The sequence below is a fragment of the Homo sapiens genome, chromosome 12, assembly GCF_000001405.40.
Source record: "Homo sapiens chromosome 12, GRCh38.p14 Primary Assembly".
In the NCBI taxonomy this organism is placed as follows: Eukaryota; Metazoa; Chordata; class Mammalia; order Primates; family Hominidae; genus Homo; species Homo sapiens.
The window spans coordinates 130,818,852-130,836,129 of NC_000012.12; the positions used below are offsets into that span (position 1 = coordinate 130,818,852).

General features: G+C 46.2%; 1 protein-coding gene across 19 annotated transcripts in view, besides 1 other annotated feature; it reads right to left on the bottom strand.

The window, feature by feature from the left end:
- Positions 1–17,278, bottom strand: part of STX2 (syntaxin 2) — a 49,651-nt gene that overhangs the window by 29,252 nt on the left and 3,121 nt on the right. For 11 of the 19 annotated variants that reach the window (NR_182217.1, NR_182216.1, NM_001351049.2 and 8 more), the window contains exons 2-3: positions 8,342–8,416; positions 2,838–2,937 (exon numbers count right to left, since the gene is read on the bottom strand). Coding sequence is in view for 15 of the 19 variants with exons in the window: in NM_001351049.2 (NP_001337978.2) it covers positions 2,838–2,937; positions 8,342–8,416 (175 nt within the window). In the remaining 4 variants the exon portion in view is untranslated. Of the gene's footprint in view, positions 1–1,346; positions 1,812–2,837; positions 2,938–8,341; positions 8,417–8,505; positions 8,680–15,014; positions 15,292–17,278 lie in introns of those variants that run through there. The other 8 variants (XM_017018982.3, XM_017018980.3, XM_047428491.1 and 5 more) reach the window with 8 other exon arrangements.
- Positions 200–439: a silencer, noted in NCBI's record as "silent region_5090". NCBI's record gives its function as "represses an Ori minimal core promoter by ATAC-STARR-seq in GM12878 lymphoblastoid cells {active_cell/tissue: GM12878}" and the evidence as "EXISTENCE:reporter gene assay evidence [ECO:0000049][PMID:35858748]".

Here is a 17,278-nt window from a genome sequence, read left to right on the forward strand (position 1 = left end):
CTGCAGGGGGAATCCCAGCCTCGTCGTCACTAAAACCCAAACCAGAATCACACACACTTCATGCTCCTGCAGGGCTGGATCCGCGTCTTGGAGGGCCTGAAATTTCTACGTTTTGCAAAGACGCTCTTTTAATACAAAAGAAAAAAGAAATAATACAAAAGTAGAAAGTGAAAAAAGAAAAATGCAGGTAAAAGGTCCTTCGTCCACCTCTCTGCCCTGGGATCCGCGGCTGCAGGTGGCGCGGCGCGGGCGGTGCTGGGACCGGGGACCCGCCCAGGACCGGCTGCCTCTGGCGCCACCTGGCGGCCGCCGTGCCCAGCCCTGCCCCGGGTCCTGAGGTTGACGGGGGACCTCCGGGAGGGCAGCAGCCCGGGGATCGCCCTGCTCACCGGGACCTAAGCAGAGCGCCTGCCCGAGAATAGGGAGACACGCGGGAGGCGGAGCACAGTAGTCCCCCTTCCTCCCTCCCACCCTCCCCTCTTCCTTTAGGAACAAGGCGGGAAGGCCAAGAGCCTGTCCCTCTCTGCGTTACCCCGGGCCCATCACTGGGAGAGAGGAATCACTGCATTTTGCTTTTTAAAGACTGACCAAGGAAGCGGCTGGAGGCTGCTGCCTACATTTTGGTTCACACTCTGTCACAAAACAAAACACAAAAAAGCAATGGTTTTCTTTAGAGCCCAAAAGGGACTATCATGAAACAGTAACAGTTCTAAATTTACTCAAAAAATAGTTCTCTCTGCTATGACTTGGCAGCAAAAATGTTTTGGAGGTAAATTATTCAAAAAAAAATGCGGATACTTATTCAAATATAATTTCCCTAAGCATTAAGCATGATGTTAACAGATGTTACATAAAAGGTCCTACGGGCAAATAAATGTGTGAAACACTAAACAAAGCTAAACAGGCTTCCTTCTAGGAAGCCTTCTCAGAGCCTTGATTATTCTACGGGTACTGCAACTTCCCAAGAGGGGCTGGGCGACGGCACGAAGAGGTCCCCGGAAAGATCTGGCCGCAGGCAGCACCCTGGCTGCACGGACTAGCTCATGAGACGGCGGCTCCAGAAACATTTTGGGAAACACACTTCTGAGTCACTGAGAGGGCATAAACAGAGGCTCAGAATATTATTTTACAAGATACATAAAATTTTAAAATGCACTTTTTCAATTTAATACTACTTTCTTATTTTTTCAACGTACGGCTACACTAAGTAATATTCCAACAAAAAATGTATTTGCTGGCAACTTTCCTCCAAGACCAAGAATACATGTGCCCCCATCACCACTTCTATTCAATACTGTACTGGAGGTCAGCTAAATAAATCAGTTAAAACTAACAAGCATAAGAGCTGCAAGGAAAAAACGGTCACTATTTATTCACAATTACATGACTGGGTACAGAGACAATCCAACATAAGCTACAGAGAATATCAGAATTAATAACTGATTAGGCAAGGGGTACAAGGCCAATATGCAAAAATCATTGTATTTCTATATACCAACAACAAACAGAGAAAATGACATTTAAAGTAGATACGGCTGGGCACGGTGGCTCATGCCTGAAATCCCAGCACTTTGGGAGGCCGAGGCAGGTGGATCACAAAAGTCAAGAGTTCAAGACCAGCCTGGCCAATATGGTGAAATCCCATGTCTACTAAAAATACAAAAATTAGCTGGGCGTGGTGGTGGGCACCTGTAGTCTCAGCTACTCAGGAGGCCAAGGCAGAAGAATCGCTTGAACCCGGGAGGCGGAAGTTGCAGTGAGCCGAGACTGTGCCACTGCACTCCAGCCTGTGTGACAGAGTGAGACTCCGTCTCAAAATAAAAAAAAAAATAGATAAATAAAAAATAAAGTACATACGACTTGCATTAACATCAAAACATTGACTACCTAGGAATAAATACAACGAAAGATGTGCGCGACCCTCCTCGGAACCCACAGCACCGCACAGACCGGCATTAAAGGCGGCCTGTGTCGTGGAGGTAGGGGCCATTTTCATGGATTCAAAGACTCAACGTTGTTAACATAGTAACTCCCCCCACCATGATGTGTGGACTCCTATTTGTAATCTCTGGCTTGCTCAGATCCATGTCCCCTGTAAAGCTTTCAATATTTATCATTCCAGAGCAATGAAACTCTCTTCTCTATAGCTCCCACGCCCCTAACGCTGAGTTAATTTAAAATCATGTCTTTTCTCCCAATGAGGAGATGCAAATACCACGGGGAAGCAAATTGAGACAAAAATCCAGGTTCTCCAGCTGCTTCCACTGAGCTCCTTTCACTCTCCTGTGTGCCTCAGATTCAAAAGGAAGCAAATGTGAGGCAGGGAGAATTTGGATAAACAGGTAAAGAAAGAAAACCGTTTCTTCCGTGCCATCCCCCACAGCCACTGAGCGCAGCACAGTCCATACAAAAGCTCCTCAAGACTTTCAGAGTCGCCTCAGTGCGTCTTCCTATTTCACTCTGCTCTTACAAGTACTGTTTTCCAAATCAATCCCTGATTCACTGCCCTCTGAACAGAAAATGCTGTCTTGCTGAACTGTGGTCTAATCTTGGCCCCTAAGTTCTGTGAAGCCACTTTCGTGTATTCTTTAGGACATGATCCATCAGTGGGCCTCACCCTGGCTGACCACTAGAATCATACAGGCAGCTTTAAGAAAAAAAAAACATACAGATGCCCTGGCTCGCCCCAGGCCAAACGCCTCAGACTCTCTAGGGTGTCAGCATTTCATACAAACTCCCCTGAATCTCCCGTGAGGCCAGAGTTGAGGCCTGTGCCGCAGACAGCCAGAGGGACACACAGACAGACAAACGTTTTGTTGTGAAAACCAACAACTTACTTCCTTCCGGGTTTGGTGCAGAAAGAATGATGCTGTGGTTTTTCTTTACTTCTTCAACATATTGAGTTATTTTATCAATACTGTTTCTAATCTCCTCCACCTAGGAGAGAGAGAGAGTCATTACAGCATGGCAAACTCAAATCTGTGACCACTTTTCATCCCCTAAAAGGGGAAGAATAAAGGAGGGAAATAAATAATTACCACATAAGAAATAAAAGCCTCTCCCATTCTCACACTGGTATCGTTAAATTTAAAAAATAAAGATATATCCTATGAATATTTCTACCTTCATACCTAAAGCAGTACCAATCAACATTCACCGGGAAAACCTATCAGGTTGTAAAAATTTCTAGTCAAGTCCCAAGCATGACACAGATGGGGCCAATTAGAAGCATACTACTACTAATACCCATTCTCAGTATAACCAGGAAGTAAGCCCATAAAACATGCAGGCACAGTGGCTCACACCTGTAATCCCAGCACTGTGGGAGGCCAAGGCAGGCGGATCACTTGAGGCCAGGAGTTCAGGACCAGCCTGGCCAACATAGAGAAACCTCTTCTCTACTAAACGTACAAAAATTAGCCAAGTGAGGTGGCACACACCTGTGATCCCAGCTACTCAGGAAGCTGAGGCTCAAGAATCGCTTGAATCGGGAGGCAGAGGTTGCAGTGAACCAAGATCACACCACTGCACTCCAGCGTGGGCAACAGAGCAAGACTCTGTCTCAAAAAAAAAAGAAGAAAATAATAATAATAATACTCTTATGGGAGGAGGTATCTATAGCTCATACAGCCAAGGCTTCATAATTATTATCTTTGACCTCTAAATGTTTAAATTCAATATTTGTTTCAAAATGTAACATATCATTAGCAAGATTTATCTAGATGGAGTCATAACATTATCTTCAAAAACCTCTACGGCAGGCTGAATAATGACCCCAAAGATGTTCAGGTCCTGATCCCTGGGCCTGGGAGTTACCTTATAGGGCAAAAGATACTTTGCAGATGTGACGAAACTAAGGATCTGGAGACGGGAAATGATCCTGAATTCTCCAGTTTGGTCCTCATTAACCCATTTATGCCAGAGGCTGCAATGTGTGTGTGTGAAAAATCAGACCTTGGTGATGACCCTGAGCAGTAGGATATAAATAACTCGCAAAAGCTTAGCGTTCCAATAATGGAACACTACGCATAAATGGGTTAAAGTCGCAAGTGTTCTTAGAAGACAGCAGTAGATGGAGATCCAGCTACAGAAGCAGCAAGGTGAGCCCTGGAGCAAGATGCTCTGCTGCCAGCTCCTACCTCCTTCCTCATTTTAAAATAGTAATTATAGGCCAGGCACAGTGGCTCATGCCTGTAATCCCAGCACTTTGGGAGCCAAGGCAGAAGGATCACTTGTGGCCAAGAGTTCAAGACTAGCCTGGGCAACATAGAGAGACCCCCATCTCTACAAAAACTTTAAAAAAAAAGAAAATTAGCCGGGCACAATGGTGCATGCCTGCAGTCCCAGCCACTCAGGAGGCTGAGGCAGGAAGATCACTTGGGCCCAGGAAGTTGAGGCTGTAGTGAGCTGTGACTGCACCACTACACTACAGCCTGGGCAACAGAGCAAGACCCTGCTCTTAAAAACAAAAAAAGGAAGAAGTAATTATTAACCATTACATGTTGTGGCACAATCCACACCCTAATCCCAGAGCCTGTGAATATGTCACCTTGCATAGCAAAGGGAACTTTGCAGATGTGATCAAATTGAGTCTTGAGATGGGAGACTACCCTGGATTATCTGGGTGGGCCCAACGTAACCACAGGATTCCTTATAAGACGAGGCAAGGGAGCCAACGTTGGAAGAAGGACACTTGATTGTGAAAACAGCAGCTGGAGTGATGGCTTTCAAGAGGGAGGAAACCCAAGAACACAGGCCGCCTGCGGAAGATGGAGAGGAAGGCAGCTCCAGGAGGCTTGCGGCTCTGCCCTGCCAGCATCTGAGCTTCTCCAGGCCCTGGAACTAGGAGGAGGTGATAAACGTGTTGTTGAAGCACAGTGATTGCGGTGATTTTGTTACAGCAGCAGCAGGAAACTGACACACGGATCAACATAAATAACACATTTCTGTGAAAAATAGATCTCCAAAAAATCGGTGGAAACAGAGGCAGTGATTTGCACTTTTTGTAAATCTAATGTCCAGCTTAATAGACAGCACCCTGATCATCACAGATATTTCTGGGTTTGGTGTGTTGGCTCTGAGAAACTCCATCATTGTGCAGTCATAAGACAATGAAAATGGCAATGATCATCTTAGTATTACTTTGAAAAGAGCTTTGACCACAGAATCCTCTTGAAAGGGTCTTAGGGACCCCAGGGACTCCTAACCCAAGCCCCGGACCAGATTTGAAAAGTCTAAGTATTAAAGAATCATGCAGGCCAGGAGCAGTGGCTCACCCCTGTAATCCCAGCATTTTGGGAGGCCAAGGCGGGCAGATCACTTGAGGTCAAAAGTTCAAAACCAGCCTGGCCAGCGTGGCAAAATGCCGTCTCTACTAAAAATACAAAATTAGCCGGGCGTGGTGGTGTGCCTGTAGCACCAGCTACTCAGGAGGCTGACAAGAGAATTGCTTGAACCCAGAAGGAGGAGGCTGCAGTGAGCCAAGATCACACCACTGCACTCTACCCTGGGTGACAGAGCGAGGCTCCGTCTCAAAAAAAGAAAGAAAAATTACCATTTCTAAAGTAATACACATATGTTAGAAAGTAAAAGAAAAAAACATTATTTTAACTCTTGGAGAGTTCTGCAATATACACCGCTGCTAACTCCAAGCCCCCGTATGGCTCCAGAGGAACAGGAGACCGCAGGGCTATACACCCTGTACCTAGACAGGCACTGAGAGAGAATGGTGCCAGCTACCATTTTATGTCCGGGAATAACATAGCACAGGGGTCCTTTGGCTCCATTATAAATCATCTTCACAGAAACAAGACTCCCTGGCCACCCTTCAGAGCACTGTTTTAGTGTTAACCAAACACTCACCATGTGAAATTCATTTCTCTTGCAAACTTCTATGTGATATTGAAGATCAGAATGAGTTTATATTACCAAACATTATTTGCTTCTGTATTTGTCTAGGAAGTCATTTCACAGAAATTAAGTGCAAAATAAATTGACTATTTAACAAATGAAAGCTTGAGCTTAAGTTAGAACCCAATGAGGCAAGCACCGGGCAAGCCTTCCTAAAGTACGAGTAACCTGTTTCCCACATGCCCCTGAGACGCCAGCAGCAAAGACAGACTGGCACCAGATAGACAAAGACCACAGCTTAATGGCACTCAGTGAATTGCACAATGTAACTTTTCTGTTCTTTTTTTTTTTTTTTTTTGTCGCCCAAGCTGTTGCCCCAAGCCGGGGTGCAGTGGCACAATCTCAGCTCACTGCAACCTCCGCCTCCCAGGTTCCAGCGATTCTCCCACCACAGCCTCCCAAGCAGCTGGGATTACAGGCACTTGCCATCATGCCTGGCTAATTTTTGTATTTTTAGTAGAGACAGGGTTTTGGCACATTGGCCTGGCTGGTCTGGAACTCCTGACCTCAGGTGATCCACCCACCTCGGACTCCCAAAGTGCTGGGAGCACAGGCATGAGCCACTGGGCCCGGCCTGCACTATGTGACTTTTCTATTAAATGCAACACTTAATGGCAGGAGATTCTTTAAAATAAATACATTTTTACAAAGAACTTACATGGAAGAGTTAAGCAACCAAGTAAAAGGAATAAAATCAGAAAAATAGTAATTTGACAAAGGGGGCAGGAAGGCTAAAGACAATTTAAAAAGTCTCATTTCCAAGAAGTGAAATCAGGAAATCCCAGCATCTTAACTCCTTCATACCTTAAAGGAAGTTCCTTGTAGCTAACAATTTAATCTCATGGTTTTTTCCTTTAAATAACAGTAGCAACTAACAAATACTAGAAAACCAGTGACTAGGCTTACGTGAGATATTCAAGAAATTCTGGCTGAATCTGAAAAACTAGTAACTTTCCATATGCTTTTATAAACCTATTAAAATGTTCAAATCCAGGCACTGCTAGGCCAGATGAGGCTGCTGAGTGAAACTATCCCATGAGACTCAGCATAATCAAGACGAGTCCTGCAATGAAGGTTCCGTCATTAAAAAACCCACTGGACGTGTGTTTTCGTTTCTTCATGTTTTACAAGGTCAATATATTTGTTCTGTGACTCAATTTCAAAAATTTGAAATTAAGCAACATTAGATCAGATAATTCTTAGGTTTGAGAATTTCAGCAGGGCCTAAGCCCAAGAGCTGAGCTGGGGAGATAAGCAGGAGGGGGAGGCCTCACACCTCAGATAGGATCCCAGCACCGCCAGGCCGCCACATTTTAAAATATCAGCCACTGGGTCACCTGTGACTTTCCTCTGAGTCTTCTACCTGAGCTCATATACAGCTGATCTGTCACCGATTTCAGACCCTGAGCCCTCTGCTCTAGGCACTTGCCTCAGGACTCACACCCACCAGTGGACGGATGGCAGTGCTGGTGGGAGCCACGCACACCTGACCCCTGCCCCCACAGCCAGGCGCCACCTCTGCTGCCGGAACCACCACTTCCTGAAGAACCAAGGAGGCCTCGTTCTGAGACACTGCCAGTCTTGCAGGAAGGCCTTTGTAAAACTCTCTTAAGGGGCGCCGCAGGACCTCCAAAAGGCAGCCTGCAAGGAGGCGGTGCTCCTGCAGCAGCCAGCACCGGGTGGGAGAAGTGGCCGCCCACCAGCAGAGGGCGCTGCAGGCCCGGCCCCAACCCACGCGGAGGCCACGTGCACAGCTCCACCATCCACACCCAGTTCCCTCCCGGACTGCATTAGAACGATGATTTGCATTTTTCTCATTATTAACATTGTGATCATACTAAAAATTCCAGAGAACTTACGTAATTCAAACAACAACTTTTAAAAATATTAGCTTAAGTATTATTTCAAATATGATAAATGCACAATCATATTGATATAAATCTTTAAAGAAGAAAGCCACCAGGCACAAGGGCTCACACCTGTCATCCTAGCACTTTGGGAAGCTGAGGCGGGCGGATTGCCTGAGCTCAGGAGTTTGAAACCAGCCTAGGCAACATGGTGAAACCCCGTCTCTACTAAAAGTGCAAAAAAAAAAGAATTAGCTGGGTGTGGTGGCACACACCTGTGGTCCCAGCTACTTGGGAGGCTGACGCAAGAGAATCACTTGAACCTGGGAGGCAGAGGTTGCAGTGAGCCGAGATTGTGCCACTGCACTCCAGCCTGGGCAACAGAGCAAGACTCTGTCTCCAAAAACAAGAAAAAGAAAAGGAAAAAGAAAAAGAAAGAAGGGAGGAAGAAAGGAAGGGAGGGAGGGAGGGGTGGGGAGGGGAGGGGAGGAAAGGGAGAGGGAGGGAAGAAAGGAGGGAGGGGTGGGGGGAGGGAGGGAGGACAGGTAGGCAGGCTATGATTGGGTTTCATTAAACGCTCTTACCTGATGGAAGAAATCATCCATGAAATGATCTTTCTCAACCACAACAACTGTGTCTCCATCATCATTCTTCCTACACTACAATGAAAAATGGAAAATTCAGTTTTTTAAAATTTTTATGTAGGCACAAATAGCGAACTGAAATACAAAAACAGTTCAATACCCACAAGATCTCAACTCACTACAGCACCAAATTGTAACAGACTAGCAGCCACCACTATCTACTCCAACTGAACTCCGCAACATTTTCAACACAACAGATCCTGGCTGAAGCAGCCAGAAGGTGGAAGACCTGGAGAGAAACAAGGGGTGGCTTTCTCAGAACTAAGCTGCTTAGAATCATTTAGTTCTCACTATGTAAGTCAATATAACACAGGCCAGTTTTACCCTCAAGAAGTGAAACTGCTGGTGTTGCATATTTTCCATAAACAGTAAAAACACTGGCCAGCCGCAGTGGCTCACGCCTGTAATCCCAGCACTTTAGGAGGCTGAGGGGGGCAGAATGCTTAAGTCCAGGAATTCAAGACCGGCCTGGGCAACATGGTGAAAACCTGTCTCTACAAAAAATTAGCTGGGCCTAGTGGCCCATGCCTGTGGTCCCAGCTACTTAGGAGGCTGAGGTGGGAGGACTACCTGAACCTGGCAGGTTTAGCTGGGCCTAGTGGCCCATGCCTGTGGTCCCAGCTACTTAGGAGGCTGAGGTGGGAGGACTACCTGAACCTGGCAGGTTGGGGCTGCAGTGACCCTGTCTCTAAAAACAAAACAAAACAAAGCAAACCCCAGCACCACCCAGAAGAACGACCATTGATCAGGAGCTGAAGACCTGGGCTCCAGCCTCCTCCCCAGCAGCCCATTAGCTTGTCTCAGTCTCTGCCTCTTGTCCATGAAATAGAGATAGTATTGTCCCATCTCCATCAGAAGACCCTAAGGATAAGATATTTATCAGTGTTTTATAAGGTAACACTACTTTCATGGGTAATATTAATATATAAACCAATAAAGGCTTCTATTAATAAAATTATTTCTAGTCCCTACTCTTTTTTTTTGGAAACAAAGTCTCACTCTGTCGCCCAGGCTGGAGTGTGGAGTGTGCAGTGGCAGGATCTCGGCTCACTGCAACCTCCGCCTTCTGGGTTCAAGTAATGCTTATGCCCCAACCTCCTGAATAGCTAGGATTACATGCACCTGCCACCACACCCGGCTTTTTTTTTTTTTTTTTTTTGTATTTTTAGTAGAGACAGGATTTCACCATGTTGGCCAGGCTGGTTTCGAACTCCTGAGCTCATGCAATCCGCCCGCCTCACCCTCCCAAATTGCTGGGATTACAGGCATGAGCCACTTCGCCCAGCCTGTACACTCGTAATTCTAAGCAAAGCAGCACTTCAAGACAAAATGGGCCGGGCGCGGTGGCTCACACCTGTAATCCCAGAACTTTGGGAGGCCGAGGCGGGTGGATCACGAGATCAGGAGATTGAGACCATCCTGGCTAACACGGTGAAACCCTGTCTCTACTAAAAATACAAAAAAAATTAGCCGGGCGCAGTAGTGGGCACCTGTAGTCCCAGCTACTCGGGAGGCTGAGGCAGGAAAATGGCATGAACCCGGGAGGTGGAGCTTGCAGTGAGCCGAGATCGCGCCACTGCACTCCAGCCTGGGTGACAGAGCAAGACTCTGTCTCAAAAAAAAAAAAAAGAAAAGAAAAGAAAAGACAAAATGGCAATCAACCGACAAGCAGCAGAAACTAACATTAAGATAGACCCACATAGTTTAACACTCTTCTCCAGGATCCCACACCACTCCAAAAACCAAAACAGAATGGCTGAAGGATATTGAGTGTCGGTTCCCAGGGTCTGCAGGAGTCAGACCAGGTGCGTTATCTGTCAATCTTCCTGGTACCACACCCCCTAGTCCCCACCATGAGGCAGGTGCTGGCATCGCTATTTCAGAGTAGAACACATGCTCAATGGTTATGGTCTCAGAGCTAAGCGGTGCCGAACCAGTAGCTGACGCCAGGTCTGACTTTACAAAACTTCCCATCTTAACAACTGTACTATTACCATGTTGACCCTCTTAAAAAGAGTAAGAGCCGTCCTTTACTTCCAGCTCACAAGAGTTGGCAATTTGAAATACTCTACACACATGTTCTCATTAATTTTATGGTCCCCATGTTGCCAGTGAGGAGGCTGAAACACAGTGCAGGGATCACTCGCAGGGACGGCAGAGCAGAAAACGGCCTGTGACTGTGATTCCACACACCCTGCTCTAACAAGCACACTCTACCCTGGGGGAAGATGGGATGCGGGGAGGAGCTGTGCTGCGGAGCCCCACCAGCCATGCAGGCCAGGTGGCCAGGTCCCACAGACTCCCCTTGCGGGGGACCCCCTCTCTTAGAAAGAGGATCTACTCCCCTGTGCGTGCCAGCCCCGCCTCTCGGGCCCACAGCCTGCTCCCTCCCTGTCTCCAAGTGCTCACTTGGGCATTAAATCCCACTAGCTGGGCACGGGGTCTCACTGCTTCCCTATGGCTATCTGCCTTGTCTTCTCAGCTGTGCGGTCTCAGAGGCGCAGGGCCAGGAATGATGGAGTGAAGCATCACCGCTTTAAGTCATTGACTGACTGTGCATTCACCCAAATACCCATGGAGGGGGTGGGGAGGAGGGGTGGAGAGCTGAAAGTGAGCTGCAGACGGCCCTTGTGGCCCTGAGCCCCGGGCCATAAAAGTGCTTCACCCCACCCTGGAGGTGCCACATGGCTCTCAGGGCATCTCACACCTCCCTGCTCTGCCAGGAACTTTAGGTTCTAGATTCAAAGTCACCTCATTTTTGTTTGTTTGGGAAACTGTAAACATATACAAAAGTAGAAGGAATACTATGGTGAGCCCTCAGTGTCGCCATCACCCAGGCTCAACAATGGTCAAGCCACAGCCTGTCTTGTTTCAGGTGGACACCCACCACTTCCCACTACTTCCTACCCCCCACACCACAAGACCATCGTGAGGCAAATCCCATGAGGCAGATGCTACTGTGGAGGCTGCACCTGCAGCTCCAGGAAAGAGGCTGCACCCATCTCAATGCTCCCCAGCGCCACGCTTCCCTGTGAAAGCAAGCTGCTTTCCCATGGTGACCGTCCCATGCTGTGTGATGCACCCCCCACAGTGGCGTGGCGTAAACAACCAGAGGCTCAACCCTCCTCTCCCATGGTGACCGTCCCATGCTGCGCGATGCACCCCCCACAGTGGCGTGGCGTCAATCCTCCTCCACTCTGAACCCACGGCACGGGCGGATTTTTGTTCCAAGTCATTCGCTTGCTGGTAAACAATTTGTTTCTCTCCCTGTAGACCAGGAAAGATCCACATGACTGGAATATGTTTCCTCTATTGTCTTATTTCTTATTCTTAAGCCTTGACTTATATGTCTTATTTCTACCTGGAAGTCTCAAAACTGATTAGATAACAGGAAACAGACCCAATAATACTGTCTTTGCTTTTCCATTCAAAAAAACAAAACAAAACAAAATGACCAAAGCAATCTTTTTGGCTTTATCCCTAAGCTACATTATTCTTGTCTTCAATGAATGTCCATGTTCAGTCTTTCAGGCTGAGATAGTGCAACAGCTGTACAACAGCCATGATTATGAGAGGGTATTTATTGTAAATAACCAAACTGCTAGTGGCAAACATTTACTAAAAGCCAGGGAATACTCTCTATATGACATACTTGATTTCCCAAGTGTCGAAGTACAGGATAAACATTTAAATATCAACATTCCATTTCGGTTAAATGTTAACAGAAGTCTCCTTAAAAGTAGCATTATAGTAAAATCACAACTCTCCCTGTGTGAATACTATTGTCAGAAACAGGTAGCAGGTAGCTTCCTGGTTTAGAGACTATTTAACAGAGAAGAGTAATTTGCCATTGGAACGATCATCATTTATAATTCAATAGAAGCTGAACTACCACAAATGGCAGAATCCAAAGCTGGACAGAATCCTGGCTTTCTTCTGCCTGTTGTTCACACACACATGCTAAGGACCTTCCATACAAATAATAATTGTGGGCAAATAAATTATAAACCTTGACATATACACAGTGGTTTTAGTACTTTGTTGCTAGAATACTTTGACTTACTTTTCACAATTAAATCACTTGGGTAAAAAAAGAAAAGAATACTTGTAATTAAACATAGGTAAAAGCTGGCCGGGTGCGGCAGCTCATGCCTGTAATCCCAGCACTTTGGGAGGCTTAACTGGGAGGATCACTTAAGCTCCAGAGTTTGAGACCAGCCTGGGCAACATGGTGATACCCCATTTTTGGTACAAAAAATACAAAAATTAGCCAGGCGTGGTGGCTCACACTTGTGAGGATCCCTTGAGCCAGGAGACTGAGGCTGTAGTGAGCAGTGATGGTGCCACTCCAGCCTGGCGATAGAGAGGGACTTTGTCTCAAAAAACAAATAAATAAATATGTAAATGCTGACTCTGGGCCAGTTTGTAAATATGGTGCTAAACGTAACCTACTTTCTCATATTTTGTATGGTGAATTACACTTTTATACCTATAATAAAATGTTATACTTTTTTATTTTTTTGTATTTTTACTAACACTTGTTTCCATTATTATTATATAAATACTTTTTAACAGGCATTTAGACTTTATGTAAATAGTATTACACTTCTGCAATTTTTTTTTTTTTTTTTTTTTGGAATCAGGGTCTTGCTCTGTCACCCAGGCTGGAGTGCAGTAGCGTGATCACAGTTCACAACAGCTTCAACCTCCTGGGCTCAGGTGATCCCTTTGCCTCAGCCTCCTGAGTAACTGGGACTACAGGCACACATATTTTTTTAGAGATGAGGTCTGGCCATGTGGCCCAGGCTGGCCTTGAACTTCTTGGCCCAACCAATCCTCCCACCTTGGTCTCCCCACGTGCTGGTATTACAGGCATGAGCGACTACACCCGGCCTGCCTCTGCAATTTAATCATTTTTTTTTTTCCTCTCAGCTATACATTCATATTTCTCCACTCAGCATATATTGCTCTAGTGTTAGGTGAAACCACACCATATGGTTCAACCTCATACATTCATCTTACTGCTGCATACACTCCATTATATAAACAGCCATGAGGTAGCCATCCAGGCTCCTATTGTGCCTAATATTTTTCCATTACCAACAATATAACGAACCACAGTTACAAGGCTGCACATGCATGTCAGGATGGTTTTCTGGAACATACACACACATGCAGAGAGAGGACCACCGAGCCATGGGGTTTAAGCGTCTTCAGCTTCACTAAACAATGCCAAATTGCTCTCCAAAGCACTTGCAATAAATTGGATGCCCCCAGCATGGCACATGGACATGAGACACTGCCAGGCTAATCTTGAGCTACCAAGGGCCCACCACATGATCTCGCCCCAGGAATGAGGATCAGAACTGACATGATGAAGCCTAGAGAGCGTGAACTAGAGAGCATTTAAACTTGGGGGCGGGGGCAGCCCCTTACACCAGGCCGTGGAGACGAAGAGAAACCCTCAGGATCTCGCTCCAGCCAACCTCCTCAGCTCACTCACGTCTCACCTCCGCCCACTGCTGACCATCCACTCACTACCGACAGCATCTTTCTGTCCCTTGCATGACTTCGTTCCCAACTCTGGGCCTCTGGACTTGCTGTGCCTTCTACCCAGGGCACCCTCCCCCAGCCCTGTCCACAGCCGCTTTCTTATCCACAGCTCAGCTCACGGGGTGGCCCCCTGACCCACCCGGCCAAGGCAGCCACACCCACACCCTCGCCCTGCTTATTCCTTCACAGCAAGGATTGCGAAAGACACTTGATTCATCTGCTCAGCTGCTGTCTATCTCCCAGCTGCAGGTTCCACAAGAGCAAGGACTTCTGTCTTTTCACAACCCAGGCATTCTGCCCACAGCAGTGCCTGGCACCCAGCCGCCAGTCAGTGATGACCAGGTCAACAAACGAGTGAATGAATGAATGAAGAGCAAGAGAAGGGCAGACACAGACAAGGGGGAGGAGAGTGGGAAAGTACACACAAATGACAAACGTCAACAAACGGAAACAGAGACACACACACAGACTAAGACCCCGCAAGCACAAAACGGCCACGACACAAGGACAGGAAGGACCTCAGTGGCTCGCTCCGTCCTAACTCCATCCCTCATGAGGGCTGATGGTACTACGTGCCCTCAAAGCCTGGGAGAAATCACTCTACCTTTTTTTTTTTTTTTTTTGAGATGGATTCCCACTCTGTTAGCCAGGCTAGAGTGCAGTGGCAGGATCTTGGCTTACTGCAACCTCCACTTCCCAGGTTCCAGCTATTCTCTCACCTCAGCTTCCCAAATAGCAGAGATTACAGGCACCTACCACCACCCCCAATTAATTTTTGCATCTTTAGTAGAGACGAGGTTTCCCCCTGTTGGCCAGGCTGATCTAGAACTCCTGACCTCAAGTGATCCTTCCACCTTGGACTCCCAAAGTAGTGGGATTACAGGCGTGAGCCACCCCACCCAGCCCATTCTGCCTTTTAATAAATCTCCCTTTTCTGCTTTAGCTGATGGGTTTCTGTCCCTTTTAACCAAAAGGCCTTGAAGACAACAGATTCCAGTGGCATCTACATTTTTCTTACCATGGGCATTTTCAAATGGAAACAGACTGATTCAATAAATACCTGGCAGGTGCTCTGGATCAGGCACCATGCAGAATACTGAGGCTTCAGAGCACAAATGACAGTATGCATCTGTCCTGAAAAGGCTGAAGCACTGGGGGAAGGGTGCAGGAAAAAACAGGACTGCATCTGTGTCCAGAATGCCCCAAGACAAGATGGGCCATCTGTGGGAACATGCGAGGAAAGGGAGGCAGGAAGGCTTCCCAGTGATGCCTAACCTGAGACTAAAAAAGGTGCAAGGCTACATGTGGTGGCTCACGCCTGTAATCCCAGCACTTTGGGAGGCCGAGGCGGGTGGATCACCTGAGGTCGGGAGTTCGAGACCAGCCTGGCCAATGTGGTGAAACTCCACTTCTACTAAAAATACAAAAATCAGCTGGGTGTCATGGGAGGCTGAGGCGGGAGAATTCCTTGAACCCTAGAGGCGGAGGATGCAGTGAACTGAGATTGCACCATTGCACTCCACCCTGGGCAAGAAAGCGACACTCTGTCTCAAAAAAAAAAAAAAAAAAAAAGGTACAAGGCAAGAGAGAAGGCGCAGAGGGAGAAGTCCAGTGGTTCAGACAAAGGGAGCAGCACCTGCAAGGGCAGGGAGGAGGGGCGTATCAGTCCGGAGGCAGGAGCAAATCCTGCCACCACAAGGCGATAGATCTGGGCTCCTAGGGAGCTCTTCTATGGATCAGTTATTTCTTACAGTTGCTACTCCTTAAATTCAGAATAGACCTCAAGTTAAAAACAAGAAGTGATTAATCTGTAAAAACATATAGATTTTGCTCTTCAAACTAAAGGACATGTTTAGATATACAAATGAGTAAACCTATTATAATTAAGAATAGAGAAACTATAGACTCCAACTGTAGGAACTGTTTGTATGAGAACACACAAAATATAAAAATTTGGCAGGATTGCATAAGTTATGACATTCTAAACTATAAATATATGCATATATAAAATTATGTTCATATATTAAACTCTTAGTATTTTAAGTTCCAGTGAAGTTTTTTAATCTTCTTATTTTATGAATTGGAACCTGCATCTTCACTATACAACATTCTGCACTACGTGGACAAACATGAGCTGTCAAAAAATAACTTTTAAAAATATCTGAGCAGTGTTTTCCGCCCTTTAAGAAATTATATTTGCAGGCCAGGCACGGTGGCTCACGCCTGAAATCCCAGCACTTTGGGAGCCTAAGGTGGGCAGATTGCTTGAGCTCAAGAGTTGAAGACCAGCCTGGGCAACACAGCGCAACCCCATCTCTATAAAAAATACAGAAGTTTGCTGGGTGCAGCGGCACGCGCCTGTGGTCCTAGCTACTCAGGAAGCTGAGGCGGGAGGATGGCTTGCGCCTGGGAGGTCAAGGGTGCAATGAGTAATGATCGTGCCCCTGCACTCCAGCCTGGGCGACACAGTGAGATCCTGTCTCAAAGAAAAAAAAAAGAGATTTGCAATTCATCACCTTGAAACCAGGATGAAAAATAACGTTCTCATTTCTTTTAGGTCTACTAAGAACACCACACAGCTACTGTGTATTTATTGTTTATTATCATGCAAACAATTCCCACAGATGAAATGTGTGGTTTCTCTATTCTTCACTATAATAAATAGATATATCATATATATGTATCAAATATAAATACATCAATGTTCATAAACTTTTTTTAAAAAGTAATCAAAATACGTTTGGGGTGGTTATCTTATAGAATAGCTATTCCATTTTGCTTACGTCCTACAGTGAATTTCATTACACCTCGGTCACTCTTCCTTCCCAGGCTGCATGCATCCCCACCCACGCTCAGTTCACTGCTGTGTCTCTCTGCACCCAGCACATGATCTGCTAGAGGCCTGACATTCAAGTACCTGCTGGATGGGCGAGTCTTTTACTTTCTGTAAATCAGAAATATCTTTCTGGATTTAGAGTGTCAGAGATCTGGACCAAGTCACGCAAACTTTCTATGCCCAAATGACTGGTTGCTCAAAAACAGCATCACTGGTTAGAAACTACATCTGTCAGTACAGATTGTATTGAGCAGATTACTCTTTAAGCCCTGTCCACGTAACTGTCAGAGGCACGTTCTTCACAGGAACAAGCATCAGCAGCTAAGAAAAGAAACTTCATGGAAGCATCACAAATACTTTGTTAATCAGACATTGTTGATGAGGCATTTTAACCAACAAAATATTCAACTTTACCTAGAAAAAAACACCAGCCATTTACAAGCACGGTTGTGAGTACACATTCAACTACTCTAAGAACTACTGGGAAA